This window comes from Homo sapiens, chromosome 2, assembly GCF_000001405.40.
Source record: "Homo sapiens chromosome 2, GRCh38.p14 Primary Assembly".
Lineage (NCBI taxonomy): Eukaryota > Metazoa > Chordata > Mammalia > Primates > Hominidae > Homo > Homo sapiens.
Window position 1 is genome coordinate 218740925 of NC_000002.12, and position 27958 is coordinate 218768882.

Below are 27958 nucleotides of genomic sequence, written 5' to 3' on the forward strand. Positions count from 1 at the left end.
TAGCAAGGTATGGTGGTGCACACCTGTAATCCCAGCTGCTCGGGAGGCTGAGGCACGAGAATCACTTGAACCTGGGAAGTGGAGGTTGCAGTGAGCTGAGATCGCGCTGCTGCACTCCAGCCTGGGTGATGGAGCAAGACTTTGTCTCAAAAACAAAACAACAACAACAACAACAGTATAATGGGCTGGGCGCAGTGGCTTATGCCTGTAATCCTAACACTTTGGGAGACTAAGATGGGTGGATCACTTGAGGCCAGGAGTTAGAGACCAGGCTGGCTAACGTGGTGAAACCCCATCTCTACTAAAAATGGAAACAATTAGCTGGGTATGGTGGCACACACCTGTAATCGTTGGCCTCCCAAAGTGCTCGGATTATAGGGCTGAGCCACTGCACCTGGCCCTAACTTTTAATTAAAACCTGTATATCACTGGGCTTGACCAATATATGGAGCACCCAGAGTCGGGTTGTTTTTCTTTGCATCAACCCTGCCTTAGATGAAGCTAAGAAGAAAGTGAGCCTTCTCTGCCTCGTTTAGCATGGACAAGACAGGCTGCATCTCTGTGAAATGTTATGGTGTGGCAGCAGCACACCAATTTTAGAGCCCCTAACCTGCAAGGTGGAGACAGAGCTGTTTGGAAAGTGGGAGCGAGAACTGGGATTCTCTGTGAAGGTGGATAGAAATCCCATCACGGGCACCCTGAGTCTGATGCATAAATTGTCACTTTCAGCCCAACCCATCCTCCTTCCAGAAAAGCAGAACTACTTCAGGTTATATATATTGGATATTGATTAAGTACCTCCACTCTTCATAGGAGAAAGATATTTGACATGTAATTGATTTGGAGTCCTACCTTTTTTACACTTAAGGGCCTACTTCAGGACTGCTACACAACCCTTTAGCCTTCCTGATATATAAGATAAAATTCACAAAAGGTGTTTGTTAATCATTTGCTCATTAATTAATTAACTTCTACAAATTGCACATAACTTTTTCTCTATATGAGGCTTAAACATAATTTTCAAGAAAATGGAAATATATATTTTTATTTTTTAGAGTCAGAGTCTTGCTCTGTTGCCCAGGCTAGAGTGCAGTGGATCCATCATAGCTTACTGTAACCTCGAACTCCTGGGCTCAAGCAATACTCCTGCCTCAGCCTCCTGAGCAGCTGGGACTACAGGACCACCCACCACACCCAGCTAATTAAAAAAAATTTTTTTTGTAGAGTTGTGGGGGAAGGTCTCATTATATTACCCAGGCTTGTCTTGAACTCTGGCCTCAAGTAATCCTCTTGCTTTAGCCTCCCAAAGCACTGAGATTAGTGGTCTGAGCCATTGCACCTGACCAAAAATGGAGATAGATGAATTCCAAACCACTTTGCATTTTAAAGATGAGTAAAATACTTTTGGATTGCTAAAATCTTATTTTTTCTCTATTATGAAACATTTGTATATTATGGAAAATTTGGCAACCACTGAAAAACAGAAAAATCATTGGAAACACTACCTGTTTCTTTACACAGCAGTACTTTCATTGCATTTCCTGTTGTTGTGCTCTAAGAATCATGTAATTTTAGAGATGGAAGCCATCAAGTCCAGTGTAAATATTGAGGACCAGAGAAGTGAAGCAGCTGTTCCAAGGTCATAGTTTCTAGCATGGCTAGACTAGAAGCCAGGTCTCTTGAGGAGAAGTTCAGGATTCTTGTGAGACAACTCACAAGGGTTTTTTGTTTGTTTTTTAAATTAAGCTTGTGATATTGAGATAATTATAGATTTCACATGCAGTTGTAAGAAAGAATGCAGAGAGGTCCCCTGTACTGTCTACTCAGTTTCCCCCATTGGGTAACATCTTGCAGAAGTACAATATAGTACACTTGGGATGTTGTTAACATTGTTAGAGTCAAGATATAGAACATCTTGCCGGGTGCAGTAGCTCACGCCTGTAACCCCAGCACTTTGGGAGGCTGAGGCAGGTAGATGAGTTGAAGTCAGGAGTTTGAGACCAGCCTGGCCAACATGGTGAAACCCCATGTTTTACTAAAATACAACATATTTTACTAAAAATACAAAAATTAGCTGGGCGTGATGGTGGGCGCCTATAATCCCAGCTACTCGGGAGGCTGAGGCAGGAGAATCACATGAACCTGGGAGGCAGAGGTTGCAGTGAGCCGGTATCGTGCCACTGCACCCCAGCCTGGGTGACAAGAGCAAGACTCTGTCTCAAAAAAAAAAACAAGATACAGAACGTTGTCATCACTGTAGGAATTCCTCCTCCTCCTACCCTTACTCTCCCATCCCCTCCTTAACCCCCTGGCAACCACTAGTTCTCCTTTTTGTCATTTCAAGAATGTTACACAGATAGAATCACAGCAGTATGTCACCTTTTGACATTGACGTTTTTTCATTCAGCATATTCTTTGGAGACTGACCGGGGTTGTTGCATGTATTAATAGTTCTCATTCTTTTTTATTGCTGGATAGTGTTCTGTGGTATGGATGTACCACAGTTTGTTTAACCGTACACCTGTTGAAGGATATTTGGGTTGTTTTCAGGTTTTGGCTGTTATGAATAAAGCTGCTATAAATAATCATGTACATATTTTTCTGTCAATGGAAGTCTTCATCTCTCTGGGATAAATGCCCAGGAGTGCAATTGCTAGGTTGTATGGTGGTTACATGTTTAGTTTTTTTAAGAAACTGCCAAAATTGTTTTCCAGAGTGGCTGTACCATTTTACGTTTCTATCTTTTTTGTTTTGTTTTGTTTTTGTTTTTTTGAGATGGAGTTTTGCTCTTGTTACCCAGGCCGGAGTGCAATGGCGTGATCTTGGCTCATTGCAACTTCTGCCTCCTGGGTTCAAGCAATTCTCCTGACTCAGCCTCCCGAGTAGCTGGGACTACAGGCATGCGCCACCATGCCTGGCTAATTTTGTATTTTTAGTAGAGACGGGGTTTCCCCATGTTGGTCAGGCTGGTCTCCAACTCCCAACCTCGGGTGATCCGCCTGCCTCAGCCTCCCAAAGTGCTGGGATTACAGGCATGAGCCACTGCACCCGGCCTCTATCTTTGTTTTTAAATTTTAACTCATTCTTATTGACTTTCAACAATCTTAAATTCTCATACTCAGTAAACCAAAAGCCTTTGAAGAAAAAGTTTGAAAATGAGGAATAGAGTTGAATTAATTAGAATTTTTCATTGGGAATTAGTATTTAACTTGATTCCATAAAATTCATTAAAAATCTTTAAGAGTTAAAACACTGAAGTGTTTCACATACAGTGCCTATTTCTGTTGTGCTGAAAATAATAACAGGTAAAGTGACTTTTTTAAACTAAAAATTAATGTTATAATAATATTCGTGGATTATATTATCTAAGTTGTAAAGAGTAATAGCTATTTTCTCCATTTTTCAGTGCTAGTTAAAGGAATGATCTTGGTCTCTCAGCTTGTACCTGACAGGTAGTTGATATGTTTGCTATGTTGACACCCCTTGAGACAGCCTTGGCCAAGCCCTTGTTGGATTAACAGTAGGGACCCCCATGGCCCACTGTCCCACATCAGCCACATCTCTTCATCACATCCATATCTGTGTTCCCATACTGTTACATAAAATTACAGTGTCACAAATCACTTCCAAAATGGAGAAAAGCACTAATGGTTCATGAATCTTTAGATGAACCTAAATATAAAATGAACTGGAAGTATCACTGTTTCTTTTCTTTCTATTGCTTTTTCCCCTTTTTTTATTTAAAAGTCTCTACACCTCAGATCTTGTTTGGTTTTCCTCCTTCGTAATTTTTACATCATTCTTTTCTCTCATTTATTTCTTTGTCTTAGCATAGCACGTTCTGCTACTGGTATCCACCCACATTCATTTCCCCTCTCAGAACTACTCCTGTCAGGGACTTTCCCAGCCAATGTCTTGTCACGGGAAATTTTGGAGCTGTATTGCAGAATGAAGTGTTGGAAAACCTTGTCTTTAGGTGACATTTAATGGTGTGGTTGTATGTAGGTTAGCCTAGTACCTTATGGATTAATATGTACAAAATAATTATTAATTATTGAGCACCTGGCTTTTTAGAATCACAAGTTAAAAGACAGCACTTGGAAATAAATCGTACGTCGTAGTAACGACGCTTCAGGGCTGTTGCTTTTTCCCTTTCTCTACTCCATGTTTGTTTTTCGTCTTAGAAGCTGTATGGAAATTCTGACCAAACCCCTTTCCAATCATGAGAAAGTTGTCCGACCAGCCCTCATCTACAGTCTCTTTCCCAACGTTCCCCCTACCATCTATTTTGGCACTCGGGATGAGAGAGGTAAACCTGGCCAAGTGTCAAAGCCCAGAAGAGCCCCCGGGGAGAAGGTTGCTAGCTAAGTTGGGAGGAGGTGGCAGTAGGTAGGAGAGGGTTTCCAGAATGGCTGTTGTGGCAGTTGTCACACTGTGCTCAGTTCCCCATGTGGTCGTAGGTCTGATGCAACCTTTTTCTTGTCTGTCCTTTAGCTGACCCTTTTCAGCCTTGCCATGTCATGCTGAGTTCATGCTCTTCAACCTTGTTGCTTTTCCCTTTCAGTCTTCCCTTTCTTTGTTCCTCATTCCTGCACAGCCCCTCTTCTTTCCCAAAGTGTGCTCCTCTGAAACCCTGATCTGGAGCAATAGTTAGTGACTTGCCTGCCCAGGGAAGAATGGGCAGCCATGCCATCTTTTTTGTCTTCTCATCATGACTCTCTGCTCCTCTCCATCCCCCATCCCCACACCCCTTGCATTCTTCCCAGTGGAGAAACTTCCCTGGGAACAGAGGAAGTTGCTCCGATGGAAGATGAGCACAGTGACCCCCAACATTGTCAAGCAGACCATTGGACGGTCCCACTTCAAAATCAGCAAAAGTGAGTTGCTTGCCTTACTGTGAGCCTGTCCTTTTGCCCCAAATAGATGGGCTTTGCATAGGGGGAGAGCTCTAGACACCTCGTGCCTATGTCGGGGCAGCTGGGGCCCTCTCCTGAAATCCAACCTCATAGGAGGGTGTAGCTCTGAAATCCTGGACTGAGCCTGTTGTTCAGAATTGAGAGACAGAGGGCCATTGTTCTGTCCCTGGCCCCAGGGCCTCATGTAGGACAGCTCCATAGCAACTCTTTGAAAACCAAGTCTGGGAGCTCTGCCCAGTTCTGGGGCCTCTGGGCCTCTCTCTGTCCCTGGACTGAGCTGTTAGCAAGGCTGATTCCTGATGTACCTCCCATAGGAAACGATGACTGGCTGGGCTGCTGGGGTCACCACATGAAGTCTCCTAGTTTCCGATCCATTCGAGAGCATCAGAAGGTAGGGGTCCTTTCTGAGGAGCTGTTTCCCTGGACTTTGGACTAGGCCAAGAGGAGGGGGATGATGTGAGTAGGGGGTAGGGGGCGGGAAGAGGATGATGACCATGGAGAAGTCAGGAAGGTGTACAGAGGAGAAAGTACAGGACGGGGGTACAGTGAGAGACTCCAGTGGATCACGTACATCTCCAGTTCAGCTGCAGTATCTTGGAGTTTCTTGCCTATGTAGGGGGCAGCTGAGTCCCTCTCCTGAACTCCAACCTCATAGGAGGGTGTAACTCTGAAATCCTGCAGTTGCAGCTTCTCCAAGATGCTTTTTCCTCTAATGTGTCTTGAGTTAGATTGTCTGTTTTCTGTTTATTATGTTTCCCTATGATCACTGCACATTCCATTCTCCCAAGCTGAATATGTGTAAAGAGGACTTCTGGTCTCACATTGGAATGAATGAGTCCCTTGCCTCCAGACTTACTAAAGGCGAAATGCTTTTCTGTCCTCATCCCATAGGGTTTCATGGATAAAGATGTAATAGCTTTTTCTTTGCACTTAAGGTGAATATCACATCTGGCTTACATTACTCTGTTTTGTCTGTGTTTTAATCATCTTTTGGTGAGTGCTCTGCAGTTGGATACTTGAGGACCATTAGGGTGGTGATAGTAAGATGGAACAAAAGCTTGGAGTGCTGCTAAAGAAGTTGGAATGGTAGAATGAGTCTTGTCATCTTCCTCATGGCCTCACCTCTGCCCTCTTCCTGCACTCACCCTTTTCCCTTTTGTAGCTAAACCATTTCCCAGGCTCATTCCAGATTGGGAGGAAGGACCGGCTATGGCGGAACCTGTCACGTATGCAGAGCCGCTTTGGCAAGAAGGAGTTCAGTTTCTTCCCCCAGTCCTTTATCCTGCCCCAGGACGCCAAGCTCCTGCGCAAAGCGTGGGAGAGCAGCAGCCGCCAAAAGTGGATTGTGAAGCCAGTGAGTGAATCACAGTGGGCAGGAGACTATGGTCTGTGAGTGGGAACAACAGAGTATTGGACCTGGAGCAAATCTCATCTCCTTTCTGCTCCTAGCCAGCATCAGCTCGAGGCATTGGCATCCAGGTTATTCACAAGTGGAGTCAGCTCCCCAAGCGAAGGCCCCTCCTGGTACAGAGGTGAGCCTGTAGCACATATCCCTTACCCCATCCTCCCACCTCCTTGGCCTCGAGGTTCCCTTCTTACAATGTTCTGCCCTTTGTTCTCCCAGCCAAAGAGCTTCCTTAGCCAACTGTTCTAAGGTCTTTATCTTGGGGACTGTTAGCTGGCTTTTCCTGTGGCTTGGTTACCCACTGAGCCCCATCATCTGGCTGTATGAGAAGCTGGCCTTTGTCCTATGTAGGTATCTACACAAACCCTACCTCATCAGCGGCAGCAAGTTTGACCTGCGGATCTATGTTTATGTCACTTCCTACGATCCTCTGCGGATTTACCTCTTTTCAGATGGACTGGTCCGCTTTGCCAGTTGCAAGTATGTGACAGTGGTGAGGTATCCTCTGACAATATTGGGGATTTTATTTTCCTTGGAGGGAGGGAAACTAGAAGACACCAAACAGAAAAATAGTTTTTGTTAGCAAGGGGAAAGGCAGGAAATGGGAAATATGGAGGCTCTCTACTTCGTTAAATCTGGGGAGGGTCTTCCTGCATGCGGGACTGAGGTGGGATAAAGGAGATGAGTTTAGCTGTGGTTTTTCAGAACTTTGCCAGTAGACACACTTCTCAGGCTCTTGTGGCTATGAAAAGATCTGTGTACTTGTTCTACACCTCTTCAGGATTTGGGGAAATGTTTGGCCCCTTCTCCATCTGCTCTGTTACCATCTTACCTCTGCCTTTTGTTTCCTTACTTCCAGGTATTCGCCTTCCATGAAGAGCCTTGGCAATAAGTTCATGCACCTGACCAACTACAGTGTCAATAAAAAGAATGCCGAGTACCAGGCCAATGCAGATGAAATGGCTTGCCAGGGCCACAAATGGTACTGAGGGCAGAGTGTCCCAGTCCAGTGAAGGCCTAGAGGAATACAGGGTTCTGGGGTTTTGGGAGGTTCAGGGGCATGGCGAGTGGAGGATTAATATAAGACCCAGAGATAACACTTACCAATTCAGAATTGGTCTATTTGAGGCCGGATGTGGTGGCTCACGCCTGTAATCCTAGCACTTTGGGAGGCCAAGGTGGGTGGATCACCTGAGTTCAGGAGTACAGGACCAGCCTGGCCAACATGGCGAAGCCCTGCGTCTACTAAAAATACAAAAATTAGCTGGGTGTGGTGGCAGGCGCCTACAATCCCAGCTGCTCAGGAAGTTGAGGCAGGAGAATCACTTGAACCTGGGGGACGGAGGTTGCAGTGAGCTGAGATCGCGCCACTTCACTCCAGCCTGTGTGAAAGAGTGAAACTCCATCTCAAAAAAAAAAAAAAAAAAAAAGAATTGGTCTATTTGCATCCAAGTTCATCTCTTTCATAATTTAAACTGCGAAAGGAAGAGATATGAAGAAAATACCATTAGGTCTCTTCTTCGTTTTTCTTTGTCTTTGTCACTCATTCCTAGAATTTAATTCCTAATACTTCCTCTTCCTCCTCTGCAGGGCACTGAAGGCTTTGTGGAACTACCTGAGCCAGAAGGGAGTCAATAGCGACGCCATCTGGGAGAAGATAAAGGATGTTGTTGTCAAAACTATCATCTCGTGAGTCACATTGCCAACCTGGATGTGGGGCCTGCTGCTGACCCCCTCCTTTCTCCTGGGCCTCACACTGCTGTGCTCTGGACTTTGGCCATGCTGTGGTTTGGTTTTAAGGACAGAGAATAGGAAGGAGTGGCCAGAGTTAAGTTCTAATGAACCTCATCCCCAGGAGCTGGTCCCAGATCAGAGGTGTCACTTGAGAGCTACCTTTCCTGGGTTGCTTCTGCCTGCCTATCTCTGGGCCACTCTTTTGGCAGGATAGCTCTGAGTAGAGCCCTCTGGGAGGAGCTGAACTGAGTACTTCCTCATCCCCATGACCAGGTCAGAGCCCTATGTGACCAGCCTGCTCAAGATGTATGTGCGACGGCCCTATAGCTGCCATGAACTCTTTGGTTTTGACATCATGCTAGACGAAAACCTCAAGCCCTGGGTCCTGGAAGTCAACATTTCCCCAAGGTAGGTGGTATTCTCAGGACACTCACCATAGAATCCTTCCATTATTCTCACGCTCCCATTGCCACTCCAGTAAGTTGTTCTTTTTTTTTTTTTTTCTTTGAGATGGAGTCTCGCTCTGTCTCCCAGGCTGGAGTGCAGTGGCGCAATCTTGGCTTACTGCAACCTCCGCCTCCGGATTCAAGCAGTTCTCCTGCCTCAGCCTCCCAAGTAGCTGGGACTACAGGCATGCACCACCACACCCAGCTAATTTTTTGTATTTTTAGTAGAGACAGGGTTTCACTGTATTAGCCAGGACGGTCTCGATCTCCTGACCTCGTGATCTGCCCACCTCGGCCTCCCAAAGTGCTGGGATTACAGATGTGAGCCACCACGCCCAGCCAGTTGTTCTTTTTAAGTGGATCCTTACTGCTTGCTTTCCTTTAGCAGATCAAGGTCATGGGCAGGTTATTCACCGTCTTTGGGGCAAGAGAGTCTTGTGATGGTGATCCTGCATGGGGATGTTTGAGCAGCTTTCATCTTAGGGAAGCCAGGAAGTAAATGAGACTAGCCCTGAGTTGCACATATGACCAGAGACTGTTTCGGAGTGCTGCTTTGACCACTCTTTTTATCCTTTTTCTGAAGCCTCCACTCCAGCTCTCCACTGGATATCAGCATCAAAGGCCAGATGATTCGTGACCTTCTGAATCTGGCAGGTTTTGTCCTGCCCAATGCAGAGGATATCATTTCCAGCCCCAGCAGCTGCAGCAGCTCCACCACCAGGTGAGGCCCCTATTTCTTCACAGCTCTGCTGGCAGCATGAGTAGCCCTGCTATAGTTTCTGGGAAGGAATGGGTTCTGGGTGCTCCCTTCTGCCAGGTTCCCCTTGCTGCTCAATCTTGCCCCTACAGTCCACTAACATGCTACCATGCCACATCAGTGACTCTCAAGTATGTTCAGTTATGTTGATCCCCTGCTTAGGAACCACAGGCCTAGGAATCAGATTTAAACATCTTAGGCACACTGGTGTGTGTCTCTAGTCCCAGCTACTTGGGAGACTGAAGCAGGGGGATCTTTTAAGGCTAGAAGTTCACAGCTCTAGTGCACTATGATGATCATGCCTGTGAATAGCCACTGTACTCTCTTTAGCCTGGGCAATATAGCAAGATGTTGTTTCTAAAAAAAAAAAATTCTTACCTGGGCAGTCAGGGTCCCAGCTTCCTTTTTCTTGGTGTATCTCTCTTTCTTCTTCCTCTCCTGGCTCCTGTGCCCTGACAAACTGGATCGCTCACACAACCTCAAGGTCAGAATGATCCTTAAGGACCAGTTGGTCCAGTCTCCTCTCTGAAATGTTTATTGCCTCTTGCTGTTCCCCATAGTGTTCTTTCCTCTGCTTATGGAGTTTCTCCCTCCTGAAATGCCCCATAGCCAGACCCGCTGTTAACCTCTGCTGTTCATCAAAGCCTAGCTCATACACCTTCATGAGGCCAACTCAGTATGGCCATTTTTTTTTTCTTTTTTCATACCACAAAGCATTGGGAACCACTCTAGAGAGGAGGGAGTTTATATTTACTTAGTACCTGAGATGTGTGAGGAAAAAAACCCTATAACTTACCCTTCCAATAACCCTGTAAGGTTAGTATTTGTACCTGTGGTTTACAGAGGAGAAAACTGAAGCTCTTTGGGATTAAGTAGCCCATCAAAGTTATTCAACTAGAGAGTGGTAGGACTGGAATTCAAATCCTGATTTGCCTGATAACAAAACTTACTTTCCCCGCTTTACCCTGTAGACTCATGTTTGGCTCTGTCCAGTGGTTGTCATTGGACATATCCCACAAGCTCCTTGGGGGCAAGAGTTGCTTTTTAGTCATCTTTTTAAAATTATTATTTTTTTTTAGAGACAGAGTCTCACTATCTCTCTCAACAGTGATTATGGTAATTGTAGTAATGTGGGTGATGAAACTGAGGTGAAGGGAGGTTAAGTCAGTTGCCCAGGGTCACACAGCCAGTAGGGCAGAGTTGAGTATATAGTTAAGTGTTCACTGAATTAAACTGAACTGAAGTATATACCACAATAAGGCTTATTGCAAGGTCCTTATTTTTTATCATTCAAATTCAACCTAAAGCTGGTGGTTTGTATCCTTTTACTTAATATTTGATGACTCTCAGGTTACTTCTGGGGAGTGCATTTTAGTCCAACCTACTACTCAAGTAACCTCTGTTCATACATCTTTGTCTTCTCTCAAGAAGGGTGTCTGCTGGGCTGGACCTCCTCCATATTTCCTCCAAATAAGAAGCTGCTGACCCTGCCCTTTGCTTTCTTTCTGGCCTCTGCCGTAGCCTGCCCACCTCCCCTGGGGACAAATGTCGAATGGCTCCAGAGCATGTCACTGCACAGAAGATGAAGAAAGCCTATTATCTGACCCAGAAAATTCCTGATCAGGTAGGAGATTGGTCTTCCCCCCAGTGCTAGCAGAAAACTTCCCTGGTCAAACATTTGGGACCCAAAAGCAAACAGCTTTTCTTTTTTTTTTTCTTTTCTTTTTCTTTTTTTTTTTTTTGAGATAGAGTTTCACTCTTGTTGCCCAGGCTGGAGTGCAATGGTGCGATCTCAGCTCACTGCAACCTCCGCCTCCCAGGTTCAAGTGATTCTCCTGCCTCAGCCTCCCGAGTAGCTGGGATTAGAGGCATGCACCACCATACCCAGCTAATTTTATATTTTTTAGTAGAGATGGGGTTTCTCCATGTTGGTCAGGCTGGTCTCAACCTCCCAACCTCAAGTGATCCGCCTGCCTCGGCCTCCCGAAGTGCTGGGATTACAGGCGTGAGCCACCACGCCTGGCTGCAACCAGCTTTTCTTAAGAGCACGGTTTCTTAATCCAGGCCTGTGATCCTCTGATGCACAGAGATTTGTTGGCATGTCTGTCATTCTGGGAGAGTGTTAATTGTCTTTACCATGTTTTCTGGCCCCCTCTTGTCCAAACTATAGACTTTTACCCTTTGGGTTTCTTTCTCTGAGAGGCACAGTGAGAGACCCCAGGAAGCTGACTTTCTCAGAGCAGATAAGGAAGCTGGATTTAAGCATGGCAGATACAAGACTGGTGCCAAATCTGAATTGCTGGATCCTCATCTTGACTTTACCCAACAAACTACTTAACCTCTCAGCCCCAGTGGCTCCCCTGACCCCAAACAAGAGTGCCTTCCCCCACTAGCTAAGTTCAGTAGACTTAGGAACAGATGTCTTTCAGAGCTGGCCCACTAGGCTGCCCTCAGTAGTTCCATGAGAGTCCCGGAGCTGTAGGACCCCAGGGGTGTGCTCCCTGTTCCCCAGCTTCTTGAGTCTCTGCCCCTGGCTTACACTCTCTCACACCCTTTTTCTCCCTGTTCCTTGGACCACAGGACTTCTATGCATCTGTGCTGGATGTCCTGACACCAGATGATGTTCGGATTCTGGTTGAGATGGAAGATGAGTTTTCTCGCCGTGGTCAGTTTGAACGAATTTTTCCTTCTCATATCTCCTCTCGCTATCTCCGCTTTTTTGAGCAGCCACGATATTTCAACATTCTCACCACCCAATGGGAACAGAAATACCATGGCAACAAGCTTAAAGGTGATGTGCCCTCCCTGCCCTCAGAAAGCCAAGTTTAGTGAGAGATTAAATCCCAGTATACCAAGAAATGGGCCTCTCTGGAAAGAATTGGCCAATTGATTCTACCTTCTTAAACCCCAACTCCTGCTAATCTTGTCCTAGGAGTAGATCTGCTCCGGAGTTGGTGCTACAAAGGGTTCCACATGGGAGTTGTCTCTGATTCTGCTCCAGTGGTGAGTGCTGCCAGTGTGGAGGACAGCTCCTTCTCAGGCCCCTCCCTCCTCTGCCTTATGAGTGCAGCAGGAGTTGGGTTGGTATGTATAGGCCTCTCTCACTTCTCCGCTAGGCTCTGCTTCTGTCTCACCATTCTTTCCTTTCAAGGGAATAGTTGCCTCCAGGATTCCCTGGGTACCTTTCTTTCAAGGATCAAAAAGTGCTTTGTAGGCCTCAACTTCTTGTTTGATTCAGAAGAGAACTGAGACTTTTACCCACCTGGGCCCATGCCTGAGGGGTAGGGAAGGGGAGAACCCCATGATCCATTTAGAGGTAGAGCTGGAGGGTACCAAGACCCCAAACACTCCTGCCTTGCCTCCGCCAAGCCTTTTGGTCTCATTGCTTCCTTTGCTCTTAGTGGTCTCTCCCGACATCACTTCTGACTATCTCAAAGGATGACGTGATACTCAATGCCTTCAGCAAATCAGAGACTAGCAAGCTGGGGTGAGTGCTGCCTGGGCAAGGGAGGGGCTGCTGGCTGTGAGTTTGTAGAGTTTTCTTCCTTCCCCTCTTCCCAGACTGTGGCAGTGAGATCAGCATTCTCCAGCTGGGGGTTGGTGGGAGCGTCAGGACATGCAGCCATAGCATCCTTTTTCTGGTAGATCTTGGTATGCCCAGGGAAGCTGAGCTGGAGGACAGAAGTGCTTCCTGAAGCAGCCACTGTCAGCCATACCCACTAGCTGTGGGAAATTGTTAGCCCTCTACCCGCACCCCCATTCACTCTTGCACTGCAGGTCTCAAGCCTTCAAGTAAATAGAATTTTTTTTATGGTTATTACATTTCCATGTAATTTTGGCCTACAACACTGTAATGTCGTGAATGCCTGCTCCAGACTGAAGGCAAATCCTAAGGTAAAGTCTCAGTTAAACAGTGTCTCAGTCATTTCTTTCACCACCTATTCCCTCCAGAAAACAAAGCTCCTGTGAGGTTAGCCTACTACTCTCTGAAGACGGGACCACGCCCAAATCCAAGAAGACTCAAGCTGGCCTTTCCCCTTATCCCCAGAAACCCAGTTCCTCAAAGGACAGTGAGGACACCAGCAAAGAGCCCAGCCTTTCTACCCAGACGTTACCTGTGATCAAGTGCTCTGGGCAGACTTCAAGACTTTCTGCTTCCTCCACTTTCCAGTCAATCAGTGACTCCCTCCTGGCTGTGAGCCCATAACTGGCCTCTCTCCAAAAGCCTCTGCCCAGGAGCATGGGCATCAGCTACCTCACGGGAACCAGCCTGCTGTTCAGACCAGTCTGACCCCCTACCCCTTTCACCCTGTCCCTCCTCAGAGTATTTTTTGAAGTGGTTGCATTATAGAGATGGGTATTTGTAGGGCCGGAGGGATGGTAGTGATGGGGAGAAGGTGAGGAAGGGTCACCCTCTGTCACCTGTCTGCCTGGCTGGCACCTCATATCTCAGCAGAGAAGCCAGTGGTGGCCACGCAGCCTTATAAAGCAGGTTTTGGTTTCTACCTTAAGTGAGCCATGTGTGGTTTGTCTGGGGGCCCTGGTGTGGTTGCTGAGTTGTAGCTCAAGAGGAGAAAACATACAGAACATATTTGGACCGGAAATCCTTTGTTCTGAATTTGAGGGGGTCTTCTGAGGTCCTTACTTCCTTAGGTCTTTCCTCACCCCTCTCCCACCGCTGTCCTGAGGAGAAACCCTTGAACTTCCTCAGTAGACAGGCGGAGAGGCCACAACATGCCGAACCCATTTCCTGTCATCCTAGTCTTGGGTCTTCACCGCCTCCTTCCAAATACCCACCCTGCCAGCAGCCCTAGGTCTTCCTGTTCTGACCCCCCATCACTGCTCGTTCAGCCTTCTAGATGTCTCTCTCGTGGACATCTGTTCTTTAGCTGTTGGCTTTCTCTGAGGTGTGAGAGGGTCTATGAACTTTGTGAATTTCCCATGGCCCCAGTGAAGGAGCCCAGATAATCCCAGTAGCTGTTACCTGTCTCCATGTATCAAAGGACACAGTCCAGGGGGAGGGTGGAAGGAGATGTGGTTTCTCTATAGTGCAACAAACATGGTTTCTCAATGTTCTGCTGTGCAGCAAGCAGGGTCTGGCGGCTTGGTAGGTGGGTTTCAGGAGCAGTCACTATTGTAGGATGGGCTTCCAATCAAACCTCAGACTAAACTCTTGTACTGAACTGATTCTACCTCCCTCCTCTAGACTCAGTAAACAGTGACTATTCAATAAATGTTGACTGAGTGAACTGTATTTACAGAGATCTCAAAGGACCCCAGCACTTGAACCAGAAGTTCTAATTGTCTCTCATCTAGGTATGAGAAAGTGGAACCTGGGAACAGCACAAGCGGAAGAGTTCGGATCAGAAAGGTTTTCTCTGAAGCCGTGCTCCTTCCTAACCCTGCACTTAGTGGTTGCTGCTTGCCTCCTCCCCAGCCCCTGTAGTCCCTTTACTTAGTTTTTTCTAGCAGTGGCACATATAAGAAGCCAATTGGCCCCGTGTCCCTGCTACTCAAGTTTTCTCTTTGCACATCAGGCAGAAAGCTCAGCTACTTGGTCTCACCCTGGACTGTAGCTGCCCCCATTCTCTCTGAGCTTTGGAAAGATAGAGACTTCTGTGTTTCATGGCTCCTGGAGTTCTGTGGCGAGGTGGGGTGGGGCCCTGGAAAGATCACTGAGAGGCCTGATTGGGTTCAAGGCCACAGAGTAGGTGGGTGTTTGGCCGGTCCTAAGGCCATGTTGACAGTTGTGAAAGTTTGGTGACAAAGTCCTGGGCATCATTGGCTGCTCAATAGTAAGGACTTTAAAGTCGGGCCATAATGGGAGAGGTCCTTGACACTCCTATTGGATCTTTTCTGATGTAATTGAAGTGACCCGCCTCTTCTCCCCGCTGGCTGCAGTATTCTAGTGCAGACATGACATGGGGAATCTGCTGCCTTCCTAAGAGAAAATGAGCTGCCTGCCTGGCAGTTTTGTTGTGGCTGGGCCTTCACGGCAAGGACCTAGGCACGGAGTCCTGGTTGAGCTGGTTTACTCCATGAAAACGAACTTCAGTTCTTTGGCTTGCCCCCTGAGAATCCCTGTACAACACAACCAATCTATTTCCATTGCCCTAACTGGAGAGGGAACCAGCATTGCTGAATGGGGGTATTGGGGGAAGCATGGTGGGGGAAGGGAGAAGGACTTAGGAAATTAAGTCCTTGTGAGCAATGAAGGTCCTAAAAGAGCAATGGAAAGACACTGCTCTTAGTTTAAAACAAGTTTGTACATTATTCTTAATTTTCATCACATTTGAGTATCTGATAGACATGGGTGTTTTGCTGGGTAGGAGAAAGGAATGGGACTTACATACCACATTTACCTCTCACTCTTGAGAGAAAATTAAATCTTATCAAGCATTTGGCATATATACTTTTGTATTGAATGCCCACAATATGAGGTATTCAGCTAAGCAGGAATTTTTGAGAAGGAATGAGATTTTTTTGGGAAGGTTAAATTGGGAGTATAGTAGAATAAATATTTGTCAGAATATGTCAGTTGTTTTCCTAAGTTGATAACTTACCTAGTCTATTTGGAGGAAGGGAGGCGAGTGTTCTTGAGACAAGGAATGAAGTGCAGGCTATTTCTGGAGTAGTGGAGTAAGGGCTTGGGGTGGAAAGTGGAGGAGGGCAGTCACTGCTGTTTACTTTGCATCCACTTTGGAATGATGAGAAACTCAGTTTCTTAGAAGAAATAGTAATGAAGAGATGGCCTTGTGTCAGGAAAGGATCGGGAACCTTGAATCAGGCTGACCTTGGGTTTAAATCCCAGTTCTGCCACTTACTGTGTGACCTTGGGCATGTCATCTAACTTTTAAGTCTCCATTTCTTTGTAGTATGAATATAATACCTACAGTGCAGGGTTGCGAAGATTTAAACCAAATGTAGTGAAAGTACGTAGGACATAGAGGGCACTTTGCATGGTCACACCTTCTCCACTTGCTGTCCAAGCCCTGTGCCCTAGGTGGGAAGAGACAGGCAAGAAACGTAAAACCCTCTCCTCCAGGAGGTGGAGCTGCCATCGAGATATTTTAGAAGTGAAGATGCCAGAACAGGGTCTAGATAGCTCATGGCCCTCACCTTCACCCCAGTGCACACACAAACATCACCATTCACCCTCCTATTACATTATCACTCCTCTGGGGATTTATTCTTTGGTTAAACACTTCACAGTCAGAGCACAGAATCCCTGAGAAAGGAAGCACATTAAGCATTAGAAGTATGTGAACTGAGTGGGATTATTAAATTATTTCAAGAGAAGCTTTGAAAAGAAGGGGAAAGCAAGCACAGTGGGTGTCAGGTGGCTGGAAAGGGGAGAAGCAGGGTACAGAAAATAAGAGAACTTGATTGGAACTGGACCCAAAGAGCAGATATATGGACCTAACAGCTGTACGAAGGGGCAGTTGTCATTACAGGTACCTTCTCTTGGTTTCAAGCTGTTTGGCTGAGGGTGAGTATCCCCCTGTCACCCTAGCCAAAGTACATACCCAGTGGCTTCTGGGGCAGTCCAGTGCTGCTGAGGGCCAGTGAAGGAGACTGATCATCTGGACACAAAGACCTTTCTACTTCCTTCTCAGCTGAATTAGTTACCCAAGATAGGTGACCAACAAAGGCAGACAGGGATCTCCTCTCCTGGGCTCCCCTTGATTTGTCCTCTAAGATTAAGGCTTACCTGTGACTGTTGTTCGAATCCCCCAACTGCTGTGAGACTTGGAAACACTGATGGTTTTCAGATGGCTAAGAGAGCTCCATTTCTTGCCACCTGAGATTCTGACCAAGCCTTTCACAACCCTTCTTGGCCTTTTAGAGTTCCCCCTGTAGCAGAGTTTGCCCGCTCATTAATATCCGGGGATCTATGCCAGCTCATTTGGCTTGCCCCTTCACCAGCGTTGGATCAGTGAAAGTTGCAAGCAGTCATATGTTGCTCTCGGCAAATGTTTTACAGGTGAAAACACAAGAAGGGTCAATAGCAGGTGGTGGTTTTCTAAAACCCATCTGTGTCATAATTATAATAGACTGAGATACATGGAATGCCAGGGACTGCCACAGGCAAAGCTAACAGAATTTTGAAAAGATATTTAAGTTTCAGTTAGTAAACTGGGGACACCAAAGCCTACTCAGAATAGTTATGGGACTAAAATATGGAGGAAAAGCACCTAACAAGGTGCCTGATAATATATGATGCAGATTTAAAGTAGTGGATTCTAAAACAGACCAAAACTACCACCCAGAACATATAAAGTAAAAGCACTATAACATGCAATAGTGTTACAATACTATTACAATAGCGTGTTAATATTACCAAACTATGGTAAAATATACTTTGATTTTATCCATAATTAAAGCTGAGGATGTATTGATAGTTAACTTAGAAAGATTAAAGCCCCCATCATTAGCAGTCAGAGAAGAGCAGTTTAAACTGCAAGATACCACTTAACACTAAAGTGGCTCAAACTTAAAAGATTGAAAATACCAAGTGTCAGTATGATACTGAGATATTGAGAAGGTGCTGATGGGAATGCAAAATGATGCACTGGAAAGCAGCTTGGTAGATTCTTACAAAGTGAAACATGTCCTTAACGTATGACCTAGCAATTCCACTCTTGCAGGCAAATGTTCATAGCAGCTTATTCATAGTAGCAAAAATTTAGAAACAACCATATGTCCAACAATCAGTGAATTAACAAATTGTGATATCTCTGTTCAGTGGAATACCCTTAGATATAAAAAAGGAACAGAGGGCCGGGCGTGGTGGCTCACGCCTATAATCCCAGCACTTTGGGAGGCCAGGGCAGGTGGATCACCTGAGGTCGGGAGTTTTGAGACCAGCCTGACCAACATGGAGAAACGCCATCTCTACTAAAAATACAACATTAGCTGGGCATGGTGGTGCATGCCTGTAATCCCAGCTACTCGGGAGGCTGAGGCAGGACAATCCCTTGAACCCAGGAGGCAGAAGGTTGCGGTGAGCCGAGATCGCCCCATTGCACTCCAGCCCGGGCAACAGGAGCAACACTCCGTCTCAATAAATAAATAAATAGGAAGAGTTCAGGTGCTGTGGCTCACGCCTGTAATCCCAGCACTTTGGGAGGCCAAGGCAGGAGGATCACTTGAGCCCAGGAGTTCGAGACCAGCCTGGGCCAACACAGTGGGACCCTGTTTCTACAAAACAAATAAATAGAAATAAAAAAGGAATAAATTGGTTCATGCAACACCATGGATGAAGCTAAGCGAGAACAAGCCAGAAACAAAAGACTGCATGCTTTGTTATTCCATAATGGTCTAGAAAATGCAAACTATAGTCACAGAAAGCAGAACAGTGCTTGCCAGGGACTATAGATGAGGGAGGGGTAGACTGTAGAGGGCATGGTGGGAAGATTCTGTATCTTGACTGTGGTGGTGGATACATGACTATATACAGTTGTGGGAACTTGTCAAATTGTGCACTTAAAATGGGTGAGTAGTATTGTATGTAAGTAAATAAAGCTGATTTAAAAGAAAAACACCAGGAGATGACATTTCATGAGGCATGTGCTAATTAAAATCACAATAAGATAACACCGGAATAGTTAAAAGGGCAGCCAAGACCAAGTGTTAGCGAGGAAGTACAGCAATTGGGGCATTTATACATGGCTGGTGTTGAGTGTAAAATGGTTCAACCCCTGTGGACCACTAACAGTTTCTTAGAGAAGCTGACATATATCTACCTATGACTCAGAAATTCCACTCCCCGGTATTCTCTAAAAAAAAAATGGAAAAAGGCCGGGCGCGGTGGCTCACGCCTGTAATCCCAGCACTTTGGGAGGCTGAGGTGGGCGGATCATGAGGTCAGGAGATCAAGACCATCCTGGCTAACACGGTGAAACCCCATCTCTACTAAAAATTCAAAAAATAGCCAGGCATGGTGGCAGATGCCTGTAGTCCAGCTACTCTGGAGGCTGAGGTAGGAGAATGGTGTGAACCCTGGAGGTGGAGCTTGCAATGAGCCGAGATAGCGCCACTGCACTCCAGCCTGGGTGACAGAGCGAGACTCTGTCTCAAAAAAAAAAAAAAAAAAGGAAAAAAAGGAAATCATGTTCACCAAAAGTGTTTATTGAGGCTTCATTCATAATAACAAAAAATTGACAATAACCCAAATGCTTCTCAATAGGAGATCAGATAAACTGGTGTGGAATACCACTCTGTAATAAAAAGGAACAAACTACTGATTTATGCAACAACGTGAATGGATGAATTTCAAAAAAGCATTGAGTGAAAGAAGCTAGACACAAAAGAGTACATACTGTGTAATTAAGTTTACATGGTGCTTAGGAATGGGAAACCTAGGGGAACAAGTCAGAACAATAGTTGCCTCTGGGCATTAATAGTATAGTAAGAAAAGAGGCACAAGATAACTTTCGGAGGTGATGGAAGTGCTCTAATTCTTGATTTGGATGTTGGTTACGTGGGTGATGGATTTGTAGGAGCTCATGGAATTGAGCCCCAAATCAAGTTGTGACAAGATTGGTTCCTTCTGAGGGCTGTGAGAGAGAATCTGTTCCAGGCTTCTCTCCAAGCTTCAGGTGGTTTGCTGGCAATCTCTGGCATTCCTTGGCTTGTACAGGCATCATGCAGTCTCTGCCTTCATGTTCTCTGTACAATTTTTCCTTTTTATAAGGTCACTAGTCACATTGGAATAGGAGCCCACTCTACTCCAGTATGACCTCATCTTTACTAACTACATCTACAATGACCTTATGCCCAAATAAGGTCACATTCTGAGGTGCTGGGGGGTCAGCACTTCAGCATATGAATTTATGGGAGAAGGGGTAGGGACACCACAGATTATAATACCTAGAGTGGAGTTCCCAGGTTGGATCAACTACTAATAATGCTATGGCGGCCAGGCATGGTGGCTCACGCCTGTAATCCCAGCACTTTGGGAGGCTGAGGGGGGTTGATCACCTGAGGTCAGGAGTTCATGACCAGCCTGGCCAACATGGTGAAACCCCTTCTCTACTAAAAATACAAAAATTAGCCAAGTGTGGTGGCGGAGGGGGACCTGTAATCCCAGCTACTTGGGAGGCTGAGGCAGGAAAATCACTTGGACGTGGGAGGCGGAGGTTGTAGTGAGCCGAGACCACGCCATTGCATTCCAGCCTGGGCAACAAGAGTGAAACTTCTCAAAATAAATAAAAAATATTATGGCAATGGCATTATCAGTCTTGTGTGCACCTCTCTGGAATAATCATGATAACCATTGGAATGCATGGTATATTTAGAATTGGAAAGACTGTTCGATTGACATCCCAAATCTGGATGCTCTTTGGCAGAGGAAAATAAATTTTAAGACGTATCTCTCTTGTTGAGAAACTGACTCAAAATCAGGATTCATGAGCTTGGTAAATGCCAGGTATCTCAACAATCACACCTGAGATAAACATCACCAAGTCCACTTGCCTCTACCAGAAGATGAAAGGCCCAAATCCCTGGAGATAAAATAACTTTTTTCTAAATCCATTTATTTCCTAGACAAATGACCTGTCTAATGAACTGTGATATTAACAAATCAGAATCTTTGGCATTAAGAATTTCTTATTATGGGCTGGGCACAGTGGCTGTCACCTGTAATCCCAGTGCTTGGGAGGCTAAAATGGATCACTTGAGGCCAGGAATTTGAAACCAGCCTGGGTAACATAGTGAGACCCTGTCTCTACAAAAAAAATTAAAAAGCCTGGCATGGTGGCACATGCCTGTAGTCCCTATTACTCAGGAGGCTGACGTGGGAAGATCACTTGAGCCCAGGCAAGGCTGCCAGGAGATATGATCGCTCCACTGCACTCCAGGCTGGATGACAGAGCAAGACCCTGTCTCAAAAAAAAAATCTCATCATGATACATTTCTACATTCAAAAGAATGAAGTTGGACCTAACCCTAACCCTAACCCACAAATATGTATTGAGTGCCTTCTAGGTTCTAGTTTTCTAGAAAACTAGAAAATACCTAGTTTTCCCAGCACCATTTGTTGAAGAGACCATTATTTCTCTATTCAGTGGTTTTGACATCCTTGTCAAAAATCAGTTGATCATCAATGTGAAGGTGTATTTTTGGGCTCTCAATTCTGCTGCATTGGTCTATATGTCTATCCTTATTCCAGTTTTACACTGTTTTGATTACTATAGCTTTGTAGTAAGTTTTGAAATCAGGAAGTATGAGCCCTCTGACTTTGTTCTTTTTCAAGATTGTTTTGGCTGTTGGTTCACTTAAATTCCATATGGATTTTAGGATTTTTTTTTTTCATTTCTGCCAAAAAAATGTCATTGGGATTTTGATAGCAATTGCATTGAGTCTAAATATAGCTTTGGGTAATATTGTCATCTTAATATTAAGTCTTCCAAGCCATGAACATGGCATGTCTTTCCATGTATTTAGGTTTTCTTCATTTTCTTTCACTGATATTTTATAGCTTTCAATGTACAAGTCTTGTGCCTCCTTGATTTAATATTTGGTTCTAAGTATTTCAGTTATTTTGATGCTATTGTAAATTGAATTGTTTTCTTAATTTTCTTTGTGGAGTGTTCATGACTGGTGTCTAGAAATGCAATTAATTTGTGTGTGTATGTTGATTTTGTATCCTGCAACTTTGCCTTGCAATGTTTTTGACCAATCCCTGCCTCTTTTCTGTCCTGTGTTGGTTCCAAGATAGGCAAACATAGATGGGTACCTAGCCTCAGTCCTTCAGACAGCTCCCCAGCAGGTTAGAACAGACAAACACAGTAATTTACAAGTAAGGTCAGCTCTGCACCCTCCAGAACCAGGAACAAGGGTCCCACTCTGGGAACACAGGCTGCTTTCTGCAAGACTGCTACCCAGCTGGGGGAAGGGATAGGACAAGGACAAATGATGCTTTGCTACCATTATAAAGTTGTCTTTTTTGTAATTCAGCATTTTCTTCATTGCTGTAAACCTTTGAGTGTTTTCCAGAATTCTGACAATGTTGGTTCTGACCATTTCTGGGTTTTTTTTTCATATGTTTCTGTGGGGGGATGGGCATTTTGAGTTTCCAATTTTGCCATTTTGCTGATGTCCTTTTTCAATAGAAACTTTTAATTGAAATATAATCTATATAAAGGGGTAAAAATCATAAATGCATAGCTTGATGAATTTTTTAAAAATTTTATTTTAAGTTCAGAGGCACGTGCAGGTTTGTGACGTAGGTAAACTAGTGTTATTGTGGGGGTTTGTTGATGAGGTGTACAGTGAAACTAGCACTCCAGAACAATAAACAGGTATTTTCAGAACCCCAGAGCCCCCTCATGCCCCCTTCTAATTGCTAACCACTACCTCCCCTCAAGAGAAACTACTTTCTTAACTTCTAGCAGTCTTAGTCTATTTGTGCTGCTACAACAGAATACCACAGACTGGGTCAGCTATAAAGAACAGACATTGAATTTTTTCACTGTTCCGGAGGCTAGGAAGTCCAAGATCAAGGCGCCAGCAAGTTCGGTTGTCTGGTGAGGGCTGCATCCTCCAGAGGGGAGGAACACTGTGTCCTCACATTGCAGGAGGCAGAAGGGCAAGAGAGAGAAACTCCCTCTGTTAAGCCCCTTTATAAGGAAACCTAATACCGTTCATGAGGGAGGGGCCCTCGCAGCCTGATCACCTTGTATAGGCCCCATCTCTTCATACTATCACATTGTCAACACCTGAATTTTGGAGGAGACATTCAAACTATAGCAAACACTTTTTTATTTTTAAACTTTAAATGGAATCATACAGTACGAAGCCTTTTTATGTCTGGTGTCTCACTCAACATTATGCTTCTGAGATTCACCTATGTAGTGTATAGTCACAGTTCATCTAATTCCATTGTATGAATATGACACAGTTTACTTATTCATTCTACTATCATAAGTATTTAAGTGTTATTTATTTTTTTTGAAACAGAGTCTCACTCTGTCACTCTGGCTGGAGTGCAGTGGTGTGATCTTGGAGGCTAGGAAGTCCAAGATCTCCTGCCTCAGCCTTCCAAATAGCTGGGATTACAGGCACATGCCACCACACCTGGCTAATTTTTGTATTTTTACTAAAGACAGGGTTACTCCACGTCGGTCAGGCTGGTCTCGAACTCCTAACCTCAAGTGATCCACCTGCCTTGGCCTCCCAAAGTGCTGGGATTACAGGCGTGAGCCACCCCGCCCGGCGAGTATTTAAGTGGTTTTTAGTTAAGGACTATTACAAATAGTACTGCTTATCTTTTGGTAAGCACATGTACACAACATGCAGAAAAGCCTAAAAAAGAAAATAAAAATTACATATAATTTACCACCGTTGTTAATTTTGGTAGGTACTTTTCCAGTCGAGTGTGTGCATGTGAAATCAGCTGTTGAAATAGTTTTGTAAGTTGTTTCTTCTTCTATTTTTCTTCTTCTTCTTCTTTTTTTTTTTTTTTTTTTTTTTTTGTTAGAGATGGGATCTGGCCATGTTGCCCAGGCTGGCCTCAAATGATCTTCCCACCTTGGCCTCCCAAAGTCCTGGCATTGCAGGAGTGAGCCACCACACCAGGTCTGTTTTTGTGTTTTCTTTTCTTTTGAGATGGAGTCTTGCTCTGTTGCCTAGGCTGGAGTGCAGTGGCGTGATCTCGGTCCACTGCAACCTCTGCCTCCTGGGTTTAAGCTATTCTCCTGTCTCAGCCTCCTGAGTAGCTGGGATTACAGGTGCGCATCACCATGCCCGGCTAATTTTTGTATTCTTGTAGAGACAGGGTTTTACCATGTTGGCCAGGCTGGTCTTGAACTCTTGACCTCATGATCTTCCCACCTTGGCCTCCCAAAGTGCTGGGATTACAGGCATGAGCCACTGCGCCTGGCCTGTGTTTTCTTTCTTTCTTTTTTTTGGAGACCGAGTCTCACTCCGTTGCCCAGGCTGAAGTGCAGTGGTGCGATCCCAGCTCACTGCAACCTCTGCCTCCTGGGTTCAAGTGATTCTCCTGCCTCAGCCTGGAGTAGTTGGGATTACAGGCATGCGCCACCATGCCCAGCTAATTTTATATATTTAGTAGAGACGGGGTTTCACCATGTTAGCCAGGCTGATCTCGAACTCCTGACCTCAGATGATCCGCCTGCCTCAGCCTCCCAAAGTGCTGGGATTACAGGCATGAGCCACCGAGCCTGGCCCTGGCCTGTGTTTTCTTAATGAAATATTGTGAGCTTTTTTTTTTTTTTTTTGAGACAGGGCTCTTGCTGTTGCCCAGGCTGGGGTGCAGTGGTGCGATCTCAGCTCATCGCAACCTCCACCTCCCAGGATCAAGCCATCCTCCCACCTCAGCCTCCCGAGTAACTGGGCCACAGCATGTGCCACCATGCCTGGCAATTTTTTGTATTTTTGGTAGAGACAGAGTTTCACCACATTGCCCATTATATCATGTTGCCTCTTGTTTGAATGAATTCTTGTACTTCAAGATAGGGAGCCCTATTCAAGTATTCACAGTATAGCAACATCTCCAGATACTCCCTTTTAATCGAGTGTCCCCTCCCCAGTAAGGAAGCAGTGGTTAGAATGTTTCATCTCAGGCTGGGCATGGTGGCTCACGCCTGTAATCCCAGCACTTTGGGAGGCCAAGGCGGGCGGATCACTTGAGGCTGGGAATTTGAGACCAGCCTGACCAACATGAAGAAACCCCGTCTCTAGAAATACAAAATTAGCCAGGAGTGGTGGTGCATGCCTGTAATCCCAGCTACTCAGGAGGCTGAGGCAGGACAATTGCTTGAACCCAGGAGGCAGAGGTTGCAGTGAGCCAAGATTGTGCCATCGCACTCCAGCCTGGGCAACAAGAGCGAAACTCCATTTCAAAAAAAAAAAAAAGAATTTTTCATCTCATCTCACTGCATTTAGGGAAAGGGTGACAGAGCAGAGAACAAAAATAGTCAAATATTTGCATTGTAAAAGTTGATTCAGACAAGTGTTGAAATATTTAGAGAAAAATATTTGATTATTGGGAGTCAGTTTTCCCTGCTTTGAAGAGTAAAATGATTGGGACTTCTAGTTTCTGATTTCTGGATGTGACCCTACTAGCTGTATGACTTGGGCAAATTATTTGGGGTGTGCAATTTACTTTTATTTATTTTTTTTTGAGATGCAGTCTCGCTCTGTCACTCAGGCTGGAGTACAGTGGCATGATCTCTGCTCACTGCAACCTCTGTCTCCCAGGTTCAAGCGATTCTCCTGCCTCAGCCTCCCAAGTAGCTGTGACTATAGGCGCCCGCCACCATGCCTGGCTAATTTTTGTGTTTTTAGTAGAGATGGGGTTTTGCCAGGCTTGCCTCGAACTCCTGACCTTAGGTGATCCACCTGCCTCAGCCTCCCAAAGTGCTGGGATTACAGGAATGAGCCACCACGTCTGGCCTGAAGTTTACTTTTAATCCCTGCCCCTCTGCTTTCTTTTTTTTGGGGGGGGGGCAAGTTTTCTTTTTCTTTCTTTTTTTTAATTATACTTTAAGTTCTAGGGTACATATGCACAACGTGCAGGTTGTTACATAGGTATACATGTGCCATGTTGGTTTGCTGCACCCATTAACTCATCATTTACATTAGGTATTTCTCCTAAGGCCATCCCTCCCCTGGCCCCCCACCCCATGACAGGCCCCAGTGTGTGATGTTCCCTGCCCTGTGTCCAAGTGTTCTCATTGTTCAATTCCCACCTATGAGTGAGAACATGCAGTGTTTGGTTTTCTGTCCTTGTGATAGTTTGCTGAGAATGGTGGTTTCCAGTTTCATCTGTGTCCCTGCAAAGGACATGAACTCATCCATTTTTATGGTTGCCTGGTATTCCATGGTGTGTATGTGCCACATTTTCTTAATCCAGTCTATCATTGATGGACATTTGGGTTGGTTCCAAGTTTTGCAATTGTGAATAGTGCCACAATAAACATACATGTGCCTGTGTCTTTATAGTAGCGTGATTTATAATCCTTTGGGTATATACCCAGTAATGGGATCGCTGGGTCAAATGGTATTTCTAGTTCTAGATCCTTAAGGAATCGCCACACTGTCTTCCACAATGGTTGAACTAATTTACAGTCCCACCAACAGTGGAAAAGTGTTCCTATTTCCCCACATCCTCTCCAGCATCTGTTGTTTCCTGACTTTTTAATGATCGCCATTCTAACTGGTGTGAGATGGTATCTCATTGTGGTTTTGATTTGCATTTCTCTGATGACTGTGATGATGAGCATTTATTCATGTGTCGGCTGCAGAAATGTCTTCTTTTGAGAAGTGTCTTTTCATATCCTTTGCCCACTTTTTGATGGGGTTTTTTTTTTCTTGTAAATTTGCTTAAGTTCTTTGTAGATTCTGGATATTAGCCCTTTGTCAGATGGGTAGATTACAAAAATTTTCTCCCATTTTGTAGGTTGCCTGTTCACTCTGATGGTAGTTTCTTTTGCTGTGCAGAAGCTCTTTAGTTTAATTATATCCCATTTGTCTATTTTGCCTTTTGTTGCCATTGCTTTTGGTGTTTTAGTCATGAAGTCCTTGCGCATGCCTATGTCCTGAATGGTATTGCCTAGGTTTTCTTCTAGGGTTTTAATGGTTTTAGGTCTAACATTTAAGTCTTTAATCCATCTTGAATTAATTTTTGTATAAGGTGTAAGGAAGGGATCCAGTTTCAGCTTTCTACATGTGGCTAAGCCTGTTTTCCCAGCACCATTTATTAAATAGGGAATCCTTTCCCCATTTCTTGTTTTTATCAGGTTTGTCAAAAATCAGATGGTTGTAGATGTGTGGTGTTATTTCTGAGGCCTCTGTTCTGTTCCATTGGTCTATATATCTGTTTTGGAACCAGTACCATGATGTTTTGGTTACTGTAGCCTTGTAGTATAGTTTGAAGTCAAGTAGCATGATGCCTCCAGCTTTGTTCTTTTTGCTTAGGATTGCCTTGGCAATGCGGGCTCTTTTTTGGTTCCATATGAACTTTAAAGTAGTTTTTTCCAATTCTGTGAAGAAAGTCATTGGTAGCTTGATGGGAATGGCATTAAGTCTATAAATTACCTTGGGCAGTATGGCCATTTTCATGATATTCTTCCTATCCATGATCATGGAATGTTCTTCCATTTGCTTGTGTCCTCTTTTATTTCCTTGAGCAGTGGTTTTTAGTTCTCCTTGAAGAGGTCCTTCACATCCCTTGTAAGTTGGATTCCTAGGTATTTTATTCTCTTTGAAGCAATTGTGAATGGGAGTTCACTCATGATTTGGCTCTCTGTTTGTCTGTTATTGGTATATAGGAATGCTTGTGACTTTTGCACATTGATTTTGTATCCTGAGACTTTGCTGAAGTTGCTTATCATCTTAAGGAGATTTTGGGCTGAGACAAGGGGTTTTCTATATATACAATCATGTCATCTGCAAACAGGGACAATTTGACTTCCTCTTTTCGTAATTGAATACCCCTTATTTCTTTCTCTTGTCTGATTGCCCTGGCCAGAACTTCCAACACTATGTTGAATAGGAGTGGTGAGAGAGGTCATCCCTGTCCTGTGCCAGTTTTCAAAGGAAATGCTTCCAGTTTTTGCCCATTCAAAATGACATTGGCATGGGTTTGTCATAAATAGCTCTTATTATTTTGAGATACGTTCCATCAGTACTTAGTTTATTGAGAGTTTTTAGTACAAAGGGCTGTTGAATT

The 27958-nt window shown here is 44.8% G+C and overlaps 1 protein-coding gene across 16 annotated transcripts in view, besides 2 other annotated features; it reads left to right on the top strand.

Moving 5' to 3' along the window:
- The window catches only part of TTLL4 (tubulin tyrosine ligase like 4), a 48890-nt gene extending 30090 nt beyond the window's left edge, over positions 1 to 18800 (top strand). For 5 of the 16 annotated variants that reach the window (XM_047446452.1, NM_014640.5, XM_047446453.1 and 2 more), the window contains 15 exons: positions 4185 to 4309; positions 4767 to 4877; positions 5231 to 5307; positions 6079 to 6270; positions 6366 to 6448; positions 6673 to 6801; positions 7181 to 7303; positions 7912 to 8010; positions 8329 to 8463; positions 9085 to 9222; positions 10780 to 10882; positions 11839 to 12049; positions 12191 to 12261; positions 12660 to 12745; positions 13210 to 14492. In XM_047446452.1, coding sequence (XP_047302408.1) covers positions 4185 to 4309; positions 4767 to 4877; positions 5231 to 5307; positions 6079 to 6270; positions 6366 to 6448; positions 6673 to 6801; positions 7181 to 7303; positions 7912 to 8010; positions 8329 to 8463; positions 9085 to 9222; positions 10780 to 10882; positions 11839 to 12049; positions 12191 to 12261; positions 12660 to 12745; positions 13210 to 13465 — 1939 coding nt within the window. In that variant the 3' untranslated portion in view covers positions 13466 to 14492. Of the gene's footprint in view, positions 1 to 4184; positions 4310 to 4766; positions 4878 to 5230; positions 5308 to 6078; positions 6271 to 6365; positions 6449 to 6672; positions 6815 to 7180; positions 7304 to 7911; positions 8011 to 8328; positions 8464 to 9084; positions 9223 to 10779; positions 10883 to 11838; positions 12050 to 12190; positions 12343 to 12659; positions 12746 to 13209 lie in introns of those variants that run through there. The other 11 variants (XM_047446455.1, XM_006712875.3, XM_047446456.1 and 8 more) reach the window with 4 other exon arrangements.
- Positions 3891 to 5090: an enhancer, noted in NCBI's record as "MED14-independent group 3 enhancer chr2:219609538-219610737 (GRCh37/hg19 assembly coordinates)". NCBI's record gives its function as "activates an origin of replication core promoter dependent on BRD2, BRD4, P300/CBP and CDK7 cofactors, and independent of MED14, by STARR-seq in HCT116 cells {active_cell/tissue: HCT116}" and the evidence as "EXISTENCE:reporter gene assay evidence [ECO:0000049][PMID:35650434]".
- Positions 6084 to 7283: an enhancer, noted in NCBI's record as "BRD4-independent group 4 enhancer chr2:219611731-219612930 (GRCh37/hg19 assembly coordinates)". NCBI's record gives its function as "activates an origin of replication core promoter dependent on BRD2, P300/CBP, MED14 and CDK7 cofactors, and independent of BRD4, by STARR-seq in HCT116 cells {active_cell/tissue: HCT116}" and the evidence as "EXISTENCE:reporter gene assay evidence [ECO:0000049][PMID:35650434]".
- Positions 18801 to 27958: the final 9158 nt, after the last annotated feature.